Below are 18,666 nucleotides of genomic sequence, written 5' to 3' on the forward strand. Positions count from 1 at the left end.
ATACATATCTGATTGCTTCCTCTGGAAAGGCTAATCAGAAACTCAAAAGAATGCAACCATTCCTCTCACACCTACCTGTGACCTGGAAGCCCCAACTCCCCTCCCACTTCGAGTTGTCCTGCCTTTCAGGACCAAAGGAAGGTTCATTTTACATATGTTGATTGGTGTCTCATCTCCCTTGTTAAAAGTAAAAAATTAAGTACAGTGATTAGGATAAATGTTTGAGGTAAACTTTTTGTGTAAATTAAAATCTTAAAGTTATTCTTAATGCTCATTTAATATCTGGGTCATTTCCAATTAAGAAAGTGTTGTAATATGGGGAAGTATGCTACTAAAATTGTGGAGTTGTTCTTATCTATAAATGCCCATATCTAATAGTTCAGGATTTCTTGCTTTTTAGGGTTTCACTAAAGTTTCAGTTTACTAAGGATAAAATTCTGGTTAACACATAATTCTGTATACAAAATGTGCCAGAAAGAGTTATGTTATGAGTGGAAAAAGAATAATTTTGTCTAATTCAAAAGTTATCTAAAAGTTAAATTACAGATTTAAAAAGGTTGTTTATGAAACAATGTAGTAAGGAATCATTAAGTAAGGGAGAAAGATGTGGAAAAAGTTTATATAATAAAATATTCTTAAGAACCTAATAAAGAATTGGGGACATTTTGCAAATTAACATGTTCATAGTTAAAGCTCTTAGTCTTGATTAAAGTCAAATAAGAAGTATTGTAAAAAATGCATAGGCAGTTTGGCAATTTTTTTTTAATATAGTTAAGCATGAAGCTGGATTTAGCATGGAGCCAAATTTCACATACATGCTTGCTTTGCTTCACACTATGTTTACTGTTTTTCATAGATAATGCTAGAGTACTTATTGGTCAGGTGCCTAAAGTGGATTTCTTGATTGGACAGAATGTATAATGATATTGGTGAACTTAAGAATATTGAATTGTGTGTCAGGAATGAAATATTCATTATGTGGGTTTTGGGGGCCCTAGGTAACACTATAGTCTCCAGGGTAAATTGAGTAGGAAAATTTAGGGTTGGTTTCCTGTTTGTTTTTGCTTCTAGTTTTCATTTGTTTGCTGTTTATTCTCCTCTGGCTTTGCTTGTGTATCCTTATATATAAAAGCATGATGCTTTTTAGTTTCTAGTGGAAGGCTTGTATTTGGTTCTATGAATAGTTATTTTGTTTCCTATGCATTTATAGGGAGTCATCATTTATTCCATTTATCTGGAATTCCCAAGGTACCTTGGTCAGGCCGCAGTAATTAATGGAACACACCAACTTTTTATCCTTATAAACTAACTTTTTAGATTTTAGGCTAATACTTTAAGCATGTTGAGTATACTTTCATAAATAGAATTGGAGTCATATTTCTCTCTCTCTGCCTAATTTCTCCAAAATTTGTAAACTATTTGTGAATATTCTTAATTCATGGCAATATGTTTGTTTGCATACAGTCAAGCAGGGTCACTAAGGCTGCTTAGGGAGAGAGAACTCAGAAACCTGGCATGCCAGCAAAAGGATAAGAATTTCTTACCAGTCAATCTCTGGCCTCTTTCTTTCTGTGCAAACTGGTTAATCACCTCTGTAAAGTTTTAAATTAATTGGTTTAATAATAATGAGAGCTTAAATAAAATATTTTGCCAGAAAAGTAGAAAACGTACTGCCTCTTAGTTCACATGACTTTAGCAGTCTTTGGGAAATAAAGACGGTTTTACAGATTATTGGTAAAATACAATGTATTCAAAATATACACATGTGGTCTAAATTATGTTCAAATATTAGGTTTTCTAAATGCTTTCAGGTCATAAACTGCTTCTTTGGCTTTTGAAAATTGTTTAACTTGCCTGCTTTCCAGCTAGATAAGGCCAGGAGAAACGTGGAGTTGGCCACACTCCTAACTATGCTGGAAATAGTCAAACCTTAGAACACAACTTACCAGGTTTTACATTAAAGTTAAAATTGCTAAGAGTCGCCACTGTAACTTGCAGTTAATACTACTAGAAACAGTTTCACATGCAAGGTGTGTAAAAACAGTAGAATGTATTTTTTCTTTTGTAAAATGTTATAAAAGGTTTTTGCTTCTTTAAAATTTCTGCATCATCATTTTGACAAAATAAGTAATTTATGGTAAGCTGGAATTCCAAAATCAAACTTCAGTTTCAAATTTGTCTTTCTTAATGCCTGGTTTTCTGGATGGATCAGAGGGCCCCTGAAAACATCCAGAAATGAGGTAAACAGGGGTATTTGTCATGTTTAGGTACATGGAATTGCCAAAATGATGTTCAATATTCTTTAGGTTATATTTTTGTGAATAATACTAATATATGTTCCAAAATAGTATGGGATTTCTGAAATAGTATATGCTATCAATTATAATTATGGTTATTATGCTAAGTTATGGTAAACCACAGAAATAACCAAATTTCCTTGTATAAAGCTACTAACTCAAGTAGAACAAAAATTAATTAAACACCAGGAAAATACCTTGTCAGATTTTCATGTTAAACCAGCTGATACTGAAATTGTTTAAATAGTTTATAAACAGTGCTTGATCCTATATTCCTGGGCACATAATTAAAGCTTCAGGTACAGTTGGTCACTTGGTGGGCCATTTAAACAGTTTATAAAGGGTCATTGTCAATGCATGTTTTCTGGTTGTATAAAAGTTTTCCCATGGAAGAGGGCTGATATTATAACAGATTATTATGCTACACTGTATTTTCACCAGGTAAAAAAGCTTTTTATGGTTTGTATCCTCTGAGAACATCGGAGAAAGACTGTCCTTGCCATCCACACTACAACAAAACTTCAGGACCTTGGGCTTTGGGTTCATAGTCTCAAAATTGAGATCCCACCACACTTTTGGAACTGTGTACCCATTGGAATGTATTTTACCAATAATCTGTAAAACCTTAACAAGGGTAAACTTAACCAGGGAAATTTCTCCCAAGAAGAACATGGCATCCTTGATGTGAACAGCCTTTCCCAAGTTCACAGGTTAAGACTTTTACTGTCGTGAAACTCTTTTCTTTGAATATTTTTTTTCTTGCTCATGCCTCTACAAACAAACAAACAAAAAAGCGGTCTGTTATGTGCACTTATGGGGTTATACTTTTATTTGTGAAGGAGTTTGCAGCCAGCCTTATACATGGATAACCTTATCTTTGATAGATAAAGACAAAGGCCCAATGTAGGCAAGAAACTTTAATGGTACATACATTGCCTCATAATCAGTCAAAAACAAAACATTGGTTCACTCCTCTAAACCCACATCATGGGTTAAAGAGTACACTGCCAGGAGGCCTTCACTCTTCTAGAAGGGCATCATTTGTTAGGTCCTTTTTCCATGGTTTAAAGTAAAAGAAGCAATGATTAGAAATGTATACCTCATGATAGGCTCTGTAGCTAATTCTACTTTAAAGGTTATTGTTACACAACAGACTTTGAATTCTCTTGTGAAAATTATGCTAAATAATAGAATTTAGTAAACAGAAAAGTACCTGTGCAGCTGCTGACACTTGTGGCCTATGGAGAAATACATCAAATGCAGATTATAAAAATTCAGTTGTAGAGGATTAATGAAAAGACCACGTAGTCAAGCAAGTAGACTCTTCATTTAGCTCATTCTTTAATCTATTTAATTTTAGGTGGTTTGGTTTATGGGGACCCTGGGTAAGGAACATACTCTGAACTATTGGTATTATCCTCCCAATAGTCATAGTAATAGTCTCCCTGGTGAGCTGTATTCTCTCAAAGGTTTTAAATGCTTGCATGCAGCCATCTCTAGAATGTCTTATGGTCTCTCTTCAATGGGAATGACAAGAGCTGAAAGAAATGTGCAACAGTAAGGACACTGTAATCTATAAATGACATGCTGAGACCAGAAACCCAAAATGATGGTAACTAAGAGTGGTGCTGAGGCCCTAAGTTTTGGTCATACTTTCACCTAAGTGAGAACCTGACCAAAAAGGGGGAATTTTTAAAACAAAAGTCTGGGAGGCCATTGTTTTGGACTCAGCTCATGCACCAGGCCCCAACAGACCAAACCAAACCAAAATGGAGTCTTTGTGCTAAGACTTTAAGGAAACACATGGATTCGAGAACAACCAAGTTTTGTTTTTTCTTCTGCAAATCTTTATAACAAACATTTCTGACAGCATAGGTATCCACCCCCGGAAGTTCCCATTAAATATTTTAAACAAATTCATTTCCTCTAGCCTAGAGACTATCCTCCTTCAGATGATCATGCAACAAAGGTTCCAACCAGTTCCAGGTGAAGACACCACCCCTGGCCATCAAGACGCTACCCTGCCTCCACTAGATAGAGCAGGATGAGTTCTGTGATCCCCAACAGATAGGGCCACTATGCCTCAAGCCAGCATGAAGCAGTTACAGAAAAAAGATCATTGGTCCCTCTGCCTCCCACAAAGATTTATGGGGATCACATCTCTCCGTGGGGAGATGAGGCAGGAAAATAGGGTCTGGAGGCAGGGAACATAAGCCGATTCACACTTCAGATATGACAGGAAATATCCTCTCCATATGTCTGTAGGCCAAGTAAATGACTTTGTAACTTTACTTCATCCTCTTCATTTACATAGGGTATACCCCAAGTACTGGGTATTTAAACGCCCCAAAATTCTGTAACAGGCCTTTGAGCCCCTATGCTCAGGCCTGCCCACACACGGTGGAGTATACTTTCATTTTCAGTAAAACCCATCATTTCTTCCTTGCTTTGTGTGTTTTGTCCAATGCTTTTTTCAAGAGGCCAAGAACCTGGACACCCTCCACCGTTAACACTGGGATCAGGAATAGCAGGAGGCAGCAGCAATTTGTTCTTTCGTAACTTAATTTGAGTTGTCTATAATTTACATTTGAAACAAATTTGTACATCTTACAACCCCAAATGGAGCATCTTAGTGAGTGACATGCAACCTAGATAAGAATAACTATACCAGGCTGCAAGCTTTTTGAAAGTAGATAAGTTAGTTCTCAGAATGACCAGAGGCACCACCATACAGTTTGGCCCAATGTTTGCACTGTATTTTAAAAGTGAGGCTTCATGTAAAAGGAATGCATTGGGCCTTGAAGGATAAGAAGAATACTAAGAGGTACAGAAGAGAGTAAAGGATGCATTAAATTGAATTCAAAATCCAGAGTTCTTAAAGCTGATGCTATAATCCAAGGATGAAAGCAGATGAGTAGATGTCATTACGTAATGACAGTAGCCAAAAGAGATTTCAAATATCCTTGGAAGTCATAGTGGTTAGGAATTGCCTTTATTATAAAACACGTGATATGGCCGGGCGTGGTGGCTCACGCCTGTTATCCTAGCACTTTGGGAGGCCGAGGCAGGCAGATCACGATGTCAGGAGATGGAGACCATCCTGACCAACATGGTGAAATCCCGTCTCTACTAAAAATACAAAAATTAACTGGGTGTGGTGGCACATGCTTGTAATCCCAGCTACTCGGGAGGCTGAGGCAGGAGAATCGCTTGAACCCGGGAGGTGGAGGTTGCAGTGAGCCGAGATTGCGCTACTGCATTCCAGCCTGGGTGACAGAGCGAGACTCCATCTCAAAAACAAACAAACAAACAAACAACAAAAAAACAGGTGATAATTATTTGTAGGGTGAAAGTGGGATGTGTGCTGAACTTCCTTCCTTTTAAAATGTTCCTTGAAAATCTAGTGCCTGATTTTGTCAAAACAAAGGTGTGTGCCACCCAATTCTTGCTTCTGTGAAATATGCATTTTCTAGCAACCAGTTTATCATCATGATGCAGTTTATTACCATGACCTAAGAGTTTTCTTAGAAACATGAGCTTCAGATCAATAAATCAATTGGCAATAACAAATTTGAAGTTGGCAATAGCTAATGGCATCTGTAAAATTTATCTCATTAAGACATGCTAACATACATTTGGAAATTAGTTTATCTGGGAGGATATAGCAGAATCTTGTGTACGTGTTTTTTGGGTGCTATATTAGGAGTCTTTTGTTGTTGTTATTTTAGAAACAAAAGGTAGACACTCTATATCCGAACTGCTTCAATTAAAATTTTCAAGACATAGAGATCATGTGGAGAAAAATATTTAATCACATGGGAAATCATCTATGAAAGATTTCCAGATGTTTATAAAATAATGATTGCTATGATTTGAGATACTTTTCCACCACAGGAATCGTGAGAGTAGTCTTTGTGGTTATGTTTTTGTCAGATGATAGAAGGGTATTGTAACTAAAGGGCTGGGACTAAGGATTGGCTCTACTTTCAATAACTATGCTAGGTTGGTTATTTAACTCTGTAAACAAGAGCTTCTTCACACATAAAATGTGAATATTAATTTGTATGTGTTGCCAAAAACCTTCAGAAAAACCTTGTGCCAATTCAATTTGAATTCCCACAGAAATGAGCTGTCAATTCCCCATACCATTTCCAACAAAAAATATCATCTGCTTTATTTTATAATTCAATACAAAAAAAAATTAGATTGTTTCATTTTCCTTTCTTTACTTGCTAGTAAAGTTGGTAATATTTTTCATATATTAACTTTCAATTCCTGTTGAGATTTTTTCTTTCTGATTATAAAAAACACTTTATTGACTAAAAATATTAATATTTGAAATTACTTTATAAATGCTTCAAATATATTTGTGCTAATGTTTTGTTTCCTTTTTAATTTGCTTTATGCTATTTTTGGACTGAAGACAGGTTAACTGTCTTTGTAGTTAGACCTAGCAATCTTGTCCTACATGAGGTCCCAACTCTCTTAGATGTCACACAGGTTAATTTGCATATAATGAGAATTCATGCTTGCCTTGTGATGACCCTTCCTAAATTAACATTTCATAATTATTTTCATATGTTTCTTCATATTAAAGATTGTTACATATTAATTTTTTATCTTTTTAAAGTAGGAAACAGTGTTCATTGTTTTCCAAAATGGATTCTTATTCTAACTTCATTTATGTAATAATTTATCATTAACCTACTATTTTATATCTTGGATCCTAGATGTACTATTATTTTCCATTGATATATATATATATATATATATATATATGTATCTATCATTTACTAGAAATATATATTTTAATGCTATAACTTTCTAACATTTTTATGTTTGCTAAGCCAAAATTGGTATTTCTCTTAGGATACTTTGAACAGCCATTACAAAATACCATACATAGCATGGCTTAAACAAAAGAAATTATTTTTTCACAGTTCTAGAGGTTGGTAAGTCCAAGATAAAGATCTGGCAGTGTTCAGTTTCTGGTGAGGGCTCTCTTCCTGGTTTGCAGGTAGCCACCTTCTCATTGTGTCCTCATATGGCAGAGAGGGAGAGCAAGCTCTCTGGTGTCTTTTCTTAGAAGGACATGAATACCATCAGACCATGTCCTCACCTTCATTTCTTCCTCTAATCCTAATTACCTCCAAATACAAACATGAGTAATTTCCAAATGCAGTCACACTGGGAGTTATGGCTTCAATGTGTGAACTGAGAAGGGGGGGTATAATCATTCAGTCCATAACAGTATTGAACTTCCATTTATAAATAACATAAATTTTTGTTATTTGTTTATTCTTACAGATAAAATTCATCCATCTCTGCCCTGGCTTTAGGTAATAATACTCTATTGAGTTTACTTTCATATGTCAGCTTCAATCTTTTTTTGAACAAAGTGTAGTATAAAAAATTTTATTGTACTAGAGAATTTTGGCTTCAACTTATTTTTTCTAAATGATGCATTTTGATAACTTCCACCTAAAGTTTGGTTGGAAGTATTTTTAGAGAAAAGGTATTTAAATTTAGTAACAGTGTCTTCAGTAAAGTTAAGCTCACCCATCTGATGGTAGGAAATGTATAGCTTTTTGCCTACTCTCAAGAAATCAAATATTCTTTCCTGAACCAATACTTCTAGTCCCATAAGAGAAAAAATTTGAATGATTTTATACATGAAGAACAGAGATCATTTATTCTTATACCTATTGGAATGTAGGAATTCACACATGAAATGAAAGTGACACTGATAAGTTTGCAGAAGTGCAACTATGAAGGACATCTACTGAGAAACTGTGTCTTAGAGTGTATTGGGATGTATTATTGAAAGCTGGCATAAGGAGAATAGGTTCATTAGCTTATGACATCTTCTGAGTCATGGTTGAAGCCATTCAAGTCACTTTATTAAATTTCTCCCTACAAAGATTTTTGGCCTGGTTTATTGTGTTTTCCAGACATAATAAGCCTAAAGGGGGGATTGTAACAGAGTCATGACTACCACTAACCATTTTAGCTCACTAAGAACACATATGAAAGTGTTCACCATGCAAGAGTATGCACAGGCTCTAAACAATGTCTGTGGTTTTAAATATTTTTTTATGAGAAGTTATTGTCTTTTCCATAGGATCCAGTGTTAGAATTCTAACTGTTCTCAAGTAGCAAAAAGAGTGTAAACAAAATCATAAGATTAAAAAATTGGCACTATCTATAAAGGCAAATTTTCTTTCTATATGCTTCTGCCAATGAAAGTAATGTACAGAATTTTATTGATGTAAGTCTTGAACAAGCCAAGTAAAATATATTCTTGCATTAAAATTTTTTTTAGAAAAACTTAGAATTTTTGCCTCTATACTTCATGTTTGTGAGACTCTGAGGCTGATCTCTCAGAATCTTTATCAGTAAAGAATATTAAGATATTTCTTCCTTGAAAACCAGAGAGGGTGAGAAGAGGAAGACAAACCACCAAAACAGATTAAAATGTATCAAACTAACTTCTTAAAACTCTAGGATATATGTTTGCTTGCTTATGGAAATATGTTTAACCACAAAATAATCCTTCCAACAACTTCTGAAATACAACCAGAGGTATCAGCACTCTTCATCTAAGTTCAGATTTGTAAGACAATCAAATTAGTTTAGAAGTCACACAGGTTAATTTGCATATAATGACAATTGTATCAATGTATGTTACAATTAGAATATTTTTGGACCAACATGCTACTCTCTCAATTTAGATCCATACCCAAGACTCTGAAATGTAACCATTTACAACTTTCCCTCATTTTTATTTCTCTAGAATGTGCTTTCAAAGGGATAACAATGTCACAAGCAGTGACTCATTCTTACCAGAACACTGATGGTCACCTGAGCAGTACCACTTCTCTGTCTGAGGGGGTCAGGGATGGCATCGTTGTCCAAGTCTGTTACTTTTACAGCTATCTTGTACTGTGATTCAATTTCTCTGTTTAGTGAATCTAATAGCTTTATCACTCCTGATGCAAAAATAAAGGGAGACCTGTTATCCCAGGATTAGTAAATATTTTCAATTTATTCTAAAATGTTAATTCTATAAATGAAATCATTACAATAATGAATAGAAATTAACTAATACAAATCAATTCATTATATATTCATACCCCTAAAGTGTAATTATAACAGGTATTAAAGTATGCACTATTTTACTCACCTGTTAAGTCATGTTCTTGGATACATGGAAAAGCACATGTGCATAGCCTTTCTGAAGATCAATATAGCAAAGATCAAAGCTTTAGTGCTTTGCCTTAGGTAAGTAAGAATTTATGGATACAGCTAACAAATCCAGGTGAACATTAAATAGTTCAAGAGAAAGTTTTTAAGATGTTCTCATGATCATAGTTTCTAAATAAAATAAATTTCCAATGAGTGTATATGAGCTCTTTACTTTTATGATTAATTGATGTCAGCGTTTTTACAATACCTGTATCTGGTTCAATGTAAAATTTGGGAGGTGTTCCCAAATTGCCTCCAACAATGGTATATTCCATATTATTAAATGGCCAGTCTGCATCGGTAAATGTAACTTTTCCAACTAGTGTATCAACTGGACTATTTTCAAATACACTGAAGGTAAATGCTGACGCACTTCCAATTGGATTCAGTTCATTTATGCGACTCACCCTTACAATGACTGTAATAATTGCTATGGAAAAGAAAGCACGTAAAAATGCAGCTTAGGCAATAATGTGTCTTCTTCAATAATCCTTTTTTTCTTTTATTTTTTAATTAACACCTCATATTATATATTACATTTATTATATTTTATACTAAAATCTCAGGGCATAAATTATACATTTATATTGATAAGTTTTAACATTAAATTATTGCCTTTTCACTTATAAAGCATTTTAAAATAAGTTTAGGAGTAAAACATTCCATTGATTCTTTTTGAACACTTGTCAAAGCAATTGTCTTTTACAGTGTGTTTATATATAAATGCTACTATTCTGAATTAAAGATCATAGTTTCCAAAATCTGACATACTATTCACCAATTGAAATATAATTAAAATACTTCAGCATAATAATGAAATAAATGCTATTTACTATGAGAATCTGAGTATTAGTATTTTCTCTAAAGTAGAATAAACAAATAATTCCTTGAGAAAGATTTTAAATACACAAGTATTCTAAAAATGTTGATTTTTGACATTGTCTTTTAATAACTGTAATGTGCTGTATTAAACATTTGGGTTTCATTCTCTCTAGTTTGTTTTTATGTAGACTCTCAGTTTTTAAATAGTTGTGCATGAGCACTAAATAGGTTAATATAAGAATATATTGCATACTTTAACAGATTATTGGAATACTTATAAATATGACAAACTTCTCAGATCCAATTTTTAAATGCACTGGGTGTTTTCTATGTCAAACTATTTTAATATTTCAAATTGGTAATTTCTTACTTGATAGTACAGGACTTCCTTCATTAGACACTTTCACAAACAATGTATGTTTGAAATGCACTCCTGCAAAAATAGCATTATCAAAATCTAGATGTCTAGGTCCAATCTGTAGATGAAAAACAGTATATCAATGGTTCACTTTGTTTTCTTTGGTTAAAACTCTCTTTTGTCATTTACATGAATCCAAAATGAAGACATATGAAACTTATATTGGTAACTAATTAGTGAAAGTGATATTCTAGAACAGCACTGTCCAATGGGAATATAACGTGAGCCATAAATGTGTGCCACCTATGAAATTTAAACCTTTCTAGTAGCCATATTTTAAAATACACATAAACAGTAAAATTAATTTTAATAAAGTATTTTATTTAATCAAACATATCCCAAATACTACCATTTTAAATTACAATCAATATCAAAAATACTGATATGTTTACATGTTTGTTCATTCTAATTCTATGAAATTCATTGCTTAATTGAAAACTGTAGCATATCTTAATTTGGACAAAACATATTTCCTGAGCTCAAAGGCATATGTAGATAGTGGATTCCGTACTGGAGAGCAAAGTTTTATATAATATACAACTATAAATTTATTGCAAAACTAAGATGATATTACTGTATATTCTGGAACTTTGTAATTACCATACATTGTAAAAATATGCTAAAAGCAAACGTAGGGTGTCATATTTATGTGCATTTGTTCAGCCTGATTCATTTGTCATAGATTGCCATTTTCTTATACATTCTCTTCATAAACAGTTACTATGATGTGTAAAAAGTAGTCGTCATGAATTTGTGTTCTTTTGAAATGAGTTAGATCTGGGTTAGTATTAGTGGAAATAATCTGTAGGCAGCAAGCTTTGAATTGCCAGCTTCAAAATTATGCGAAAACAGAACTTGAGATCCATTCTGCTGGGAGAGGTCAAAGCATCTCATATTTTTGCTCTTTCACTTTACTCTCCTGGGAAGAATGTGCAGGGCAGGCATGATGCTTTCAGGATCTTTAATAACGTTAAATACAAAGGGAAGTGGCAAGAGTCTTCCCCTTCACAATCCTCAGGGTGGTTGTAGCCTAGAGTACGTCTGGGGCCATCCAAGGGGAGGAGTGGAAAGAATGTGATTGCGTGCTGTGTCTTCAGTTCTTCTGAGGTCTTTTTTGTGCCTCAGCCACATTCACATTAACTATTTTTCTCAACAAACAGCCAATACCTATTAGGGAGGGAAGTTATGTGTAGCAACTGGATGCTGAGTTCGTGCAAAAAAGGATAGGTGAATAAAACTGTTTTCTTAAAATTCTACAATGTTCCCAGTATTATAGAAATCAGAGTCTGTAAATGAATTAGTCAAATGGGGGAAAATAGTTTTTCATCAATGAAGTAGCATATTAAGTGATCTCTAAGGTGCTTTTCAATATTAGAATTCTGTAGTCTATATTCTAAATAGATAAAGAAAAGTAAAGAGAACAATGGCACTGAATCATATATCAGTCAGGAAGTTAATAATTTACACCAGTAATTATTTTGTAAATTTATTGTATGCCTTTTCGATCTATCGATATTGAGAGAATATGAAAATACAGAAATAAATTTAGCAATGAAAAGAACTACAACTACAATAAGGAAATAGCCAGAGGCAGACACAGCATCTATGGAAATTCTGTATGTGTCAGAGATAGCATTAGAAGTCTGTAGAAATATCACTGTGACAGTAGGTGCTCCAAATAGTGAAAAATAATTAATTGCATTCCTACTTTACTGCAGATCACAAAATAAGTTCTTTTACATTTAGAAAAAGTTAAATATGAAAGGCCACTTGTAAAAATATTTACAAGAAAATATAGGATATTTTCCAAAATATCAGAGTATATCACACCAACAATAACAAAACAAGAATGGATAAAGACATGATTATGCTTTTCACACAAAGGAAATACAAATATTTAATGTTTATCCACAGAATTGGTGAATATATGGAATGATGTGCAATCTCATTATCAATCAGGCAGAAACATGCTAAACGATGTGACAGTAGAAGTTATTATAAGAATATTGCTCAAGAGCAATGCATATCCATTTCAGGTGACAGTATAAGCTGGTACAACCTCTTTGGAAAGCAACTTGGCACTAACTCATATAGTTGAACATTTAAAAACATTATAACATGGCAGTTCTGTTCTGGGGGCACTAAGAGAAACACACAAGAATGTTCATTACAATGATACACATAACACACAAAAACCAGGAGGAAATTCAAATCTCTACCAATGGGAGAATGGTTATAGTCACACAATGGAATATTAAGATATATAATGGGACATTACAGCAACTAAGTGACTGATAGGTAGATAGACAGATAGATGATAAATAGATAGATGATAGCTATGATAAACGAGTACTCCCTGTTTGACTCAAACACGTAATGAATCAAATATCAATCACAGAAGACTGCATAGATATACCACGTTTTTAAAGTTCAAGAACTAAGCAAACATAACCATGTTATCTAGTAATATGTACATTGATGACAAAACTCTAAAATCCCCAAGTAATGACAAACACAAAATTCAGGATATTGGTTGTGTCTAGAAGACAAGCAGAGGGATGGCAAAGGGTGGCAGCACAGCTGTTAGTAATATTCTAATTCTGAAGTGAGATGATGGGCTCAGGGGTTCATTTTATTGCTATGCTTTATTACTTGCAAATATGTTACTTATGTTATCTAATATCAAATATTACCTCATAAAATAATAATTAAAAAATGAATTGACTAGTAAAAATATATTGGGGTGTTTTTCAGGTCAATGCTCATTAAAGAGAAATAACCTCATAAAATACATGATTAGTAATACTGACTTAAATAAATATTCATTTTTTATTATTTTATTAATAAGTTCAATATATTGCATATGAAATCATTTGGATTCATTAAATAGTAATTCATTGTTAAACATTACAATTACATGGCTATCACTGGTACCCTGGTGAATATCATTCCTCAATGAGTAAAGGTAAATTTAAAGTTAATATCTACTAGTCTACTAGAGCTGTAATCATTATTTTAACATAAAATTCTTGATGCTTATTATAAATCATAGTTTTGAGTGACTGCTAAGCTCTTTTTATCTCATTAATATAATACACATGCCAATGTATGGCATCTAAGAACAAATGTTTTATTTTTAATTTTTTAAAATTTGTATTTTAATTATGCCCTTTTATGAGTTTAAAACTCAAACATCATTGGAAAGCCAAACACATGTTCTATGTTCTTCTAGTAAATGTTTATTCCCTAAGCATTAAAATTGTGTCAGTTTCTTTTTTTACACACTAGCTTCTTTTCTCTAGCTGCTTTAAGATAAGGATGTTGCCACTTTATGACTCTTTTTGAACTTAATCACCCTTTGAGAAAAATACTATTGTTCTCATTCCAATAATAGTTGGAAAAAAGAAAAAGAGGTTATACCATATGCCAGGGAATTTAATAAAGATTAATATTTCATAATTTTCAGGCAAAGGTAGAAAGCCATCATAAAATACTCTGGGTCAATAGTTTTGCTTCTAGGAAATTTATGTGGCTGGTTTTATGATTTTAGTCAAATTAGAACAGGTCCACTACAAAAATTTTGTTGTTGTTTACTCATGTATTTTGTGTGCTTGTTTTATTTGTTTTCTTCTTGTTAGAGTTGCATGAATAAGGGAGATTCAAAGAAATGTTATTCAGTGCCATGATCTTCATATTCCTAATTGAGGATATTTTTAATGTTTTATTATTTTCAATGTTTATCAGGATACAAATGTAATATATGTAGTTTACAAGTATCTGTTTTGATATTCTAGTCATATCAACAATATATTCTAATTGCAAGGAATTATGAAAATGTGGCATTGATGCATCTGGCAATAATGTTACTAAATCCTGTCAATGTCTTACAAAAATGACTTTTACAGTATAATTTTGTTCATTTTATTTACTCATTCATTCAGTATTTTATTTTTTATTGATACATAGTGTACATATTTTGGGGTACATGCAACAATATATTTGTATGATTTGTAAAGATCAAATCAGTATAATTGGGATATCCATCACCTTAAATATTTGTCTTTTCTTTACACTAGAAATATCCATATTATTTTCTTCTATTTTGAATTATACAATGGATTATTGTAAACTACTGTCACCCTACTGATGAAACACTAGGTCTTATTTCTTCTATCAAATGGTAGATTTGTACCCATTAATTGCTCATTAATAAATATATATATCTCTAAAAACACTGAATATATGTCAGAAACTAGTTTAATAACAGATTTTTTTCTTTTACCATCTAATGGGAGAAACAGATGGAATGTGTGATTAGTGCTATGGTTGGAGAGATACAAAATGCTGCAAGAACCCAATGAGACGTGCCTAATCCAGACAAGAGGGAGAAGAAGTATTAGGGATGGCTCTTAAAAGAAACAATCTCTAAACAAAACCATGAGGGTTATGCAAAAGTGTGTGAGTACTGGGGATACAACATAACAGGAGGAATTTCTAGCAGTATGAATAGCATGAACAGCAGGACAAAAAGGCAGAGGTGAAGGACATCCATTGTTTTAAGATTGTGAAAGTGGTTCTGTGCCTCTCAGCCACAAAGTATAAGACAGAGAATGATAATGTTAGGGGTTTGTGTGAAATGCAACTTGGATAGAGGTCCATTTACAATGAATTCAGTATCAAAATAAGGTAAAAAAGAAGTGCTTGTTACCTGTGTCTACTCATCCAGACCATGTTTGGTTTCTTATCAGTTAATGAAAACAAACTCAACATGGGTTTGAACAACTTTTTTCACACCAATGTTCAGCCATTACCCAGGAATCTTTGTTGAACACAATGTCTAATCTAACCCCACCTATTCTTTTAAAAATATGTGAGTATAACAACATATAGCCTGACTTAGGTCTCAAAATTTATTGGAAATAAAGTTCTAAATTTCTTTAATTGGTAAAATATTTGAGCTATGGTACATCCCAGAATACAGTAATAAAGTATGCATATTAATTATCTTCATATACCATATTTGATAGTTATTGAATATATTTATTAAAAGTAACTATGGTAGTGATATGGACAGGAGGCAGGGAAATACTGGGTAGAAGAGGGTGGTCCCCGGCTAAGGCTACACCCCCAAGCCTGGGACTATGGCCCAAAGTGAGCACATGTATTCCTGTTTTCCCATCCAAATGTTGCCTTTTCCAAAACCATCCTGGCCTGCCCCGCCCCCCATCCTGTACCCATAACCCCAGGCTCCACTGGTAGAGGGGCAGCAGAGCAGCAAAGTGGCTGAGCAGCAGAGAAGGAGAGAAGAAAAGCAGCAGCTGGACATCAGAGAGAACAGCTTGACAGCAGGACTTCAGAGTTCAGTTGGGGCCAAATTCCAGGGGAAGACCACCTTCCCACTCCATCCCCTTTCCCGCTCCCCATCCCACTGAGAGTCACTTCCACCACTCAGTAAGCTCTTCTACATTTACCACTCTTCAGTTCATTTGTGCAGCCTGATTCTTCCTGGATGCTGGACAAGAACTTGGGTACCAAGAGGATGGGTGTGAAAGGCTGTCACCCTGACCCTCCACTGAGCTGTTAAGCACTTAAGCTGTACATGGACAGCAAAGCTAAAAGAGCACACTGTAACACACGCCCTCTGGGGCTCTGGGGTCACAGGTACCCCCTTAGACGCCATGGGGAAGCACAGAGTTGTACTCCTGCCAGTGCCCAGAGGCATGAGTTCCAGCCCCTGCACCCACTCACCTGCATGCTCGCCATCCTGTGAGGGGTTGAGAGCTGAGGGCTGAGCAAATGAGCCACCCCCTTCGCAAGTCCTGCATAGGGGTCAAGGGAATGGTCCCGTTTCAGTAGTTTTGGCACATTCCAAAGAAATAGACAGTATTTTATTATAGAGCCATTTGTTTTAGGAAATTTATAACCTTCCTAGTTCAGTTCCAAAGATCAAAATTGCATTCCAGCATTCATCTCAAACTAAGATATGTTGTTGGTAATTTAAGGTTCAATTAAAAATCCAGGAACAAATTCTGCCATCAGCTATTTGAATTACTGTAGTTCATTAAGAATTTTATAATCATGAAAATAAAATATTTTTCTATCTAAGGTTAATCACAGGGGCACAATCAGAGAGCAACTTAAAAATACTCTCAGTTCATTGTTTGTGAGGGTAAATGTTCCATTTGAAAAGGCATCCACAATCAAATGATACGTTATATTGTTATTGGGAGCAGTTCCATCCTTATCTGTACAAGTTAGAGAGACTAAAAGAGTTTCAACTGGGATGTTTTCAGGATGTTCAATTCTGAAATGAGTAGAATATGGAAAAATGTGGTATAACATGTTAATCTAGATTTATGCAGATGATAATATTTAATAGATGTTTTAAAATGTGCTCATATTTTAAATAGTCACTTCTGCCAATAAGAAAAGTACAGTGTTGATGAAAAATTGTGTAAGATAAGAAATTATTCGGCATCCTTGCTGAGGCTAAGGGAATTGAATTGCTATTATGCTGGATGAATAAGCAGCAACTTTAGTATTATGCACACATATTATCATTGAACAAAATGGAAATTAGTATCTCCGATTAATAATTTTATATTTATAAATGCTAGACCTCTATGTGATCTCTTGAGATTAAATATTCCATGCTTTTTCTTTACTCAGATAATATATACTTGTCTCCCACTTAAAAATAAGAAAACTGAGAACTATTGACTATTAAATTTGATGGTTAGCAGGGACTGTTTATTCTTACCAATATTCCTGTGTCCCTCTACATATCCCAGTTTCCCTACAGCTACTGAAGTAGGCTACGTGAGATGTGCTGGCAAATGAAATGCAAGTGGAAATGCATTATATCAGTTCTAGGTATGATGATTAAAATTTGGGGGTACCTTCCACATGCTGTCTTTCTCACTTCTCTTCATATGGTTGGGAGCACAAGGCAACATACTGCAAAGCCAAACAATTGAGTAGTCTAGGATCCCTGAGTCACAGCACAGAGTGCCACACAGTAGAGCCCACCAACCTGCACTACTCTTTGCATAAGGGGCAAAGAAATGCTTATTGGGTTTAGCCAATGATATATACATATGTTATTTTTTAAAACAGCAATCAGTGGTATCTTGACTAGTACACAAAATTATAATGGTATTTTTCTCTTTTTTAAAAGAATACATCTAATGTTAAGCATTTAAAATACCTTAGAATTAAAATAATAGAGGAATAAAAGGTGAGTTGTCTAATTTGTTAACATGAAAAATGTTTTAGAAACAAAAAATTCTAATACCTTCCAATATGAATCTGTAGACTACTAGCTGGAATAGAAAGTAAAAGCAAACAACTATTGGAGTGGCTACAGAATTCTTCTTTGTTCTTTGGCCTTTTGGTTTTATCAGAACATCTCTGACAAAAAGTTTACAAACAAACTAAAAGTTGATTTTTGAGTATAATGGAGCAATGGCACCATTTTTGTATGTGGATTTTCGACATTTTTTATTATAAAGTGATCAAATATATCCCTGCATTTGTATTTATAAAATATTGTTTTCAGTGGGAGAAAGTAATTCAAGCGTAGACCACCAAAAACCTTTTATAATGTATTATAAAATATCATTTATGCTATGAAAGTGAAAATTTTAAGTAAGCAGGAGCTTTTATTGTTCAACTTGCAGGACTATCAAAATTCTACTGCGTATAATTTATTTTAGGTCCATCTAAATAGTCTTTTGTTGCTGGAAGCACAGACTGCTATGGTTTTCCACAAATTTTCTATATGATATATAATAGTATTGATCATCATGTGATCATTATTAATAACAGATTATCACATGATCTGTTAATTCTGTAATCACACACTGTTGGAAAGAGATATGTTAC

The 18,666-nt window shown here is 33.8% G+C and overlaps 1 long non-coding RNA gene across 1 annotated transcript in view; it reads right to left on the reverse strand.

Annotated features, from left to right (window-relative positions):
• The window catches only part of LOC105369146 (uncharacterized), a 46,073-nt gene extending 35,233 nt beyond the window's left edge, over nt 1-10,840 (reverse strand). Inside the window, exons 1-3 of the long non-coding RNA NR_136264.1 lie at nt 10,735-10,840; nt 9,751-9,972; nt 9,141-9,286 (exon numbers count right to left, since the gene is read on the reverse strand). This is a non-coding gene — a long non-coding RNA (uncharacterized LOC105369146). The remainder of the gene's footprint in view (nt 1-9,140; nt 9,287-9,750; nt 9,973-10,734) is intronic.
• Nucleotides 10,841-18,666: the final 7,826 nt, after the last annotated feature.

The sequence above is a fragment of the Homo sapiens genome, chromosome 7 (genome assembly GCF_000001405.40).
Source record: "Homo sapiens chromosome 7, GRCh38.p14 Primary Assembly".
NCBI classification, from domain to species: Eukaryota; Metazoa; Chordata; class Mammalia; order Primates; family Hominidae; genus Homo; species Homo sapiens.